Source organism: Homo sapiens, chromosome 1 (genome assembly GCF_000001405.40).
Source record: "Homo sapiens chromosome 1, GRCh38.p14 Primary Assembly".
In the NCBI taxonomy this organism is placed as follows: Eukaryota; Metazoa; Chordata; class Mammalia; order Primates; family Hominidae; genus Homo; species Homo sapiens.
Window position 1 is genome coordinate 17280010 of NC_000001.11, and position 6000 is coordinate 17286009.

The 6000-nt window shown below is 52.3% G+C and overlaps 1 protein-coding gene across 3 annotated transcripts in view; it reads left to right on the forward strand.

Moving 5' to 3' along the window:
- Window positions 1-4224, forward strand: part of PADI3 (peptidyl arginine deiminase 3) — a 35136-nt gene extending 30912 nt beyond the window's left edge. For all 3 annotated transcript variants that reach the window (NM_016233.2, XM_011541571.3, XM_017001463.2), the window contains 3 exons: window positions 341-420; window positions 662-787; window positions 2837-4224. In NM_016233.2, coding sequence (NP_057317.2) covers window positions 341-420; window positions 662-787; window positions 2837-3070 — 440 coding nt within the window. In that variant the 3' untranslated portion in view covers window positions 3071-4224. The remainder of the gene's footprint in view (window positions 1-340; window positions 421-661; window positions 788-2836) is intronic.

The following is a 6000-nucleotide window of genomic DNA, read 5'->3' on the forward strand; positions in this document are numbered from 1 at the left end:
TCCCCGCTAAGCCAAAGCAAGAGGATTCCTCATCCAGTGCCCTCGGGCAGTTGTACATTTCCAGTGACAGGCGTTACCACTTCCAGTGAACTCAAATAAAGGTCTCAGTTCATTCCACTGTGGCAACCAGACCCTCCCACTCCTTATACCCCAAGATGTGCACAGTGGCCAAGGCAAGCTCAGACAGGTGGAACCCACCCAAGGCCTGGGAAAGTCAGAGGCTGCTGACTCGGCAAGACCATTAGCTGTGAACTTGGCTCCTGCCTGTCTGCTTCCCTAAGCAGGTGGTCCTCACGTTGGTGCTGTCCCTGTCCTTCTCTTTCATCTCTCTCCTTCACAGATGATGAGCAGGTCAAGACCATCTCCATCAACCAGGTGCTCTCCAATAAAGACCTCATCAACTACAATAAGTTTGTGCAGGTACAAGGGCTGTGGTGTACCTGTGGGCTGTGATTTGGGAGTAGGCGGGGCTGGAGGCAAGGATGGGATACAGACATCTGAGGCTAACTGTTCATGAAAGCTCAGGTTAGAACAGGCCCAGACAGAGGGGTCCCAACACCCTCTTTTGACCCAGAAGAAGTGAGGGGAGCGACAGGATGCCTTGGTGCCCCCAAAACACACTGGCAAGGTGTCCCCAACTCTGGCCCTCCCCTGCCCCCAGAGCTGCATCGACTGGAACCGTGAGGTGCTGAAGCGGGAGCTGGGCCTGGCAGAGTGTGACATCATTGACATCCCACAGCTCTTCAAGACCGAGAGGAAAAAAGCAACGGCCTTCTTCCCTGACTTGGTGAGGGCACTACCCATGACTCCTTTGCCAAATCAGGCTGCAAACCTCTAAGCTCGAGAGAGGAAAAATGTCTGGTCACAGTCATATTTAGGATTGTGGTGGCCAGTGGGGGTGGCAGGGAGAATCAGGGGTCCTATGGTGCTCCTCAGAAGGGCTTCTAGCTGGCTGACCACCATGGTCCCTGTGGAATGCTTGCTGGCCAAGCCCTGGCCCAAGGGGCATCAGGGAAGGGGTCCACTTGACATTTGTGGAGTGAATGAATGATTGCATGAGGTCACGTGTGCAAAGCACATGGCATCAGCTGGGAACCCAGATGCTCATTCTGCTCTCTTCCTCCCAGCTTGTGGCTCTTCATCCATCCCACATGTATTTAGGGTGTCCTGTGGCAGATGCAGAGATGATTAAGAATGCCCCCTGCTCTCAAGGGACTTTCAGTCTAATCGGTTGAGAGGGAAACTCTTCCCTTCTCTGAGGACATGTCCCAGTGATCTATTTTGTAGGATAAGGCGATGTGGCAGTTTGGAGGTGAGACAAAGCACTTCCAGCCTAAGAGGTAGAACTGGAGATCCAGGAAGTCTTCATGGAAGAAGTGGCTTTTGACTGAGCCTTGAGGGCTTTGCCTCTGATGCTTGTAAATCTTTTTTTCTTTTTTTCTTTTTTTTTTTTTGAGACGGAGTCTCACTCTGTTGCCCAGGCTGGAGGGCAGTGGCACAATCTCACTCACTGCAACCTCAGCCTCCAGGGTTCAAGCGATTCTCCTGCCTCAGCCTCCTGAGTAGCTGGGATTGTGGGATTGCAGGCGTGCACCACCACGCCCGGCTAATTTCTGTATTTTTAGTAGAGATGGAGTTTTGCCATGTTGGCCAGGCTGGTCTTGAGCTCCTGACCTCCGGTGATCCACCAGCCTCGGCCTCCCAAAGTGCTGGGATTACAGGCGGAAGCCACCGTGCTTGGCCTGCTTCTAAATCTTGAGCTTGCCTTTGAAACACCTGGACAGGTGGGGCCCCACCCCAGCGGTCCTGATTCAGCAGGTCTAAAGCACGGCCCGAGGCACTGCTGCCGCGCTAACAAACACCCAGGTGGTGCTGATGCTGCCTTTTAGAGGAACACAGTTTGAGTAGCACTGCTATAGGTCACCCAGCTCCCCTCTCCACTCCTCCCCACCTCATCCCCTAAAAGAACTCAATTTGCCCATTGTCAGAGCCTTGTGGGGAACCTGTCCACACCACCATTGCTTCATGCCCCGCTTTTTCCTTCCTCTTTTCAGGCAACATTTTGCCCTCCGCTTGCAAAGCCTCTTTTCACTCCCCTTCCTTCCTGTTCGAGGCTATCTTGTAATTATATATGTGCCCCAAGAAGTTTGTGCAATGATTCAGGTTCTTGTGTTCGCAAGAGACAGAGTCCTACTGAAGCCAGCTTCAGCCAGAGGGAGTCTTAATATAAGGACACCAGAAACCTGAGGGCAGGATAGCTGCAGCAGAGCCTGGAACCCTCTCTGTTTCTGTGTCTACATCATTCATTCTCTCTCTTTCTCTCACCCTCTCCACCTCCTACTTCTTCTCCCTCTTCTTCCAGCTTGGCTTCCTTTGCTTCTCTGTTCCTGGGGACAAAGATGAGTATGGCCATGCACAGAGACACTGACACGGGCAGAGACCAACTAGACGCTCCCATTGTCAGTTTCAAATTCCTGGGAGAGGGACTCTGATTGGTCCATCTTGGACCAGCTGTTCTCCCTGGCCCAATCAGTTATGGCCTAGAAGGTTGGGATTCTGCAGCACAAACATGGCAGCTGCCACAATCCACAATTCCAAATTCACATTAGGGCAGTTTCCAGAGCACGTTGCCAGAGTGAGTTCTGCGGATGCTCCCAAAGGCACCTGGCTAACCGGTTCTTCCCAGCCCCTTTAGCCAGTTACCTTCTCATTGCACAGGAAAGGGTGAGTAGCTATTGACAAGGCTGTCTAAAACACAAACCTAGGTCCTGCAGGTAGAGTAGAGGTGTGGGGTGGGAGCCCAGTGATGAAGTGCTGCTTCCCCTTTGGACTGCAGGTGAACATGCTGGTGCTGGGGAAGCACCTGGGCATCCCCAAGCCCTTTGGGCCCATCATCAATGGCTGCTGCTGCCTGGAGGAGAAGGTGCGGTCCCTGCTGGAGCCGCTGGGCCTCCACTGCACCTTCATTGATGACTTCACTCCATACCACATGCTGCATGGGGAGGTGCACTGTGGCACCAATGTGTGCAGAAAGCCCTTCTCTTTCAAGTGGTGGAACATGGTGCCCTGAGACAGCTCCCACCCACCATCCTGTCCCCCTGGGGCGGGCATTGGCCCAGGTGGTGGAGACAGAGACAGGCCCCTGAACGATAAGCACCAAGAGACCCCAAGGCTCCAGATGGAACACTGAGGGTGACCGTCCCTCTCAGAAGCCTTTTCCCTGGAAGTGTCCATGCCTCACCTGCAACCCATGTGGTTCTCAGACTTGAATCTTCTCGGCCCCCCAAAAAGAAGGACCTCATTTCTTATAGCCTCTCCTGTGATTCAACACAACCCATGGAGATGTCCCCTTCTCACTCTGAAATCATCCATTTGGGGACAAATCCACATTGGGGTCTAGAAACATCCACGTATCTCATCAGCCATCTTGTCCTGTGCATCCTAACAGAGGAAGGATCCATGATTCTGCTTTGGTCCAATTGCTTCCTCTCTGCAGAGGAACAACCCTAAAACCAGACCACTCCACGCAGGACAGGCAGGAGAGATTCTTCCTAAAGCCTCCCCCATAAAAAGGGAGCTGTGGATCCACTTAGATCAGGGCGGAACCATCTTTCACCCGGCCAAGCTCCTGCCCAGATGTTGACCCTCACCCAGCGTGAGCTGTCACATAGTAGGAGCTTCTAGATGCATGTGGAAGCAATGAGAGTTGTCCCTTAGCCTTATAAACTCCCCATGATCTGACATGCAGAAATCCAGCCTTGTCCAGAATCCTCCTGGAATTTCTTGGAGACGAAAGTATCTGGGGGATTGTTGGGTACTAGGGAGACTGGGTACAAGGGTGAAAAGTAGTTCCCATAATACACATGGTTGACTATGGTGATCCACCTTGTGATGGTTAATATTAGGTGTCTGGAGAAGGTTGCTTCATTGGCCCTGGGACTTCTCTCTGCAGGAGGAGAGAACGCTGCCTCTCCTCTGGATTGGTCTCAGGCTCTCTGTTGGCCTTTGGTCAGCGTTTCCACATCCTGCTCTGCTGCAGGAGAGGGGGCTAAGGGGCTGGATCCACCAAGGCAGCTCACAGCGGGAAAACTCTGGGAATGAACCACTGAATTCAGGGGATGGGGGTGGGGGGGCGGTTCTCGAGGTGTGTGCCAGCTACACGTGTGTTCTGTATGGGTCCAGCTGCGTTTCCATCACTCGCTAATAAATCAACAGAAACACAAATGGCTTGGCTCTCATGTTGACCCTTCTTTGAGCTTAGAATGAGACAGCAAAGAGAGAGGACTTTCTTGCAGCTGAAGCATTTGCTTTCTTGACCCCCAAGAATTTGGGGCTGACATCCCAAATTTTGATAAGACTGAGATTGCCTTGTCTTGGCCAGAGGATGGGTTAGGACTGCCATGGACACCTGTAATGATATGGACACATAAAAGCAAGCCTGGGGGTAAAATGCCAGGCTACCAGGACAAGTGAGCATGGCAAGGCTAGGGGCCGGGCTGTGGCTGGAGGTTGCACTGTGGAAGGATGGGCAATGGGGAGCATGTGGAGGCCTTTTGTGTGTCCTTAGCAGCATCCTCCTTCCGCCTGCAAGAGGCTGCGGGAAGCCTTACTTCAGAGCACTCGGGCACTGTCCCTCTGCCCTCCACCCTCCCAACCCCTTTATTTTCCCTCAAGGCGCAAAACACAGAAACACACTCAAGCTCACCCCGGGCTGGGTGGCTAGAGCTGTGTAGGTTTCTCCAGTGCTGCCTCCTTGCCGTGGCTTACTTAGGTTCTCTGAACAGATTCCCGGTGTCCCCTCACATACCCATATTTTGACAAAATAAGCTCCCTCCCTCATTTCTCCCAGCAGGGGAAGCTGAGACAGATGAAGACGCTGAGAACATCCTATTTTCTGAAAGGGTTTGGGGAGGGAAATGTGACTCTCTAGAAGGCAAGTGCCTAAAATTCGGAGAACAGGGATGAGTTTCCAACAGGCTTTTCTCACCCCCAAGACTGGCCACAGGGCTCTGGGTGGACCCAGCATAAAGCCCTGGAAACAGAATGCCTCTCAAAGTTGCTCCCTGTGCTCTAGGTTGGTGTGGGTGGGGCAACTGAGCAGTGAAAAACCTAACCCCAAGGCGGACGAGAAGCAAAACACAGTTGAACACGGCATCCACCTGTCCACACAGCAAAGGACAGGGTCAGTGCATTACTTTTTGAAGGCTACTATAACAAATTACCATAAACGAAGTGGCTTAAAACAACACAAATGTATTATCTTATGGTTCTGGAGGTCAGAAGTCTGACATGGTGTCATGCTGGACCTCTACTGACTTCAGTAGTAGCTGGGCATGGTGGTACAGGCCTGTAGTCCTAGCTATTCGGGAGGCTGAGGCAGGAAAATTGCTTGAGACTAGGAGTTTGAGGTTACAGTGAGCAAAGATCACACCACTGCACTCCAACCTGGGTGACAGAGTGAGACCCTGTCTCAAAAAAAAGGATAGGGATGGCACCATGTTTGAGAGACCAAAGAAGAGACCAGGAGCCAGTGACCGAGACATAAGGTTTATTGAGGGGACTCATATACGGGGCAGTGCAGTGGTGGTGGGCTGGACAGGGGAACCACCTCTGCTCGTAAAAAGCATGCAGTTAGCCAGGTGCAGTGGCTCACGCCTGTAATGCCAGCACTTTGGGAGGCCAAGGCGGGTGGATCACAAGGTCAGGAATTCGACACCAGCCTGGCCAAGATGGTGAAACCCCGTCTCTACTAAAAATACAAAAATTATCCAGGCGCAGTGACGGGCACCTGTAATCCCAGCTACCCGGGAGGCTGAGGCAGGAGAATTGCTTGAACCCGGGAGGCAGATGTTGCAGTGAGCCAAGATGATGCCACTGCACTCCAGCCTGGGCAACAGAGCAAGACTCCGTCTCAAAAAAAAAAAAAAAAAAAAAGCATGCAGTTTATATAGCATTTTGACTTAGCACTCTCACCCTAATAACCTCCTCCTGGCAATCTTC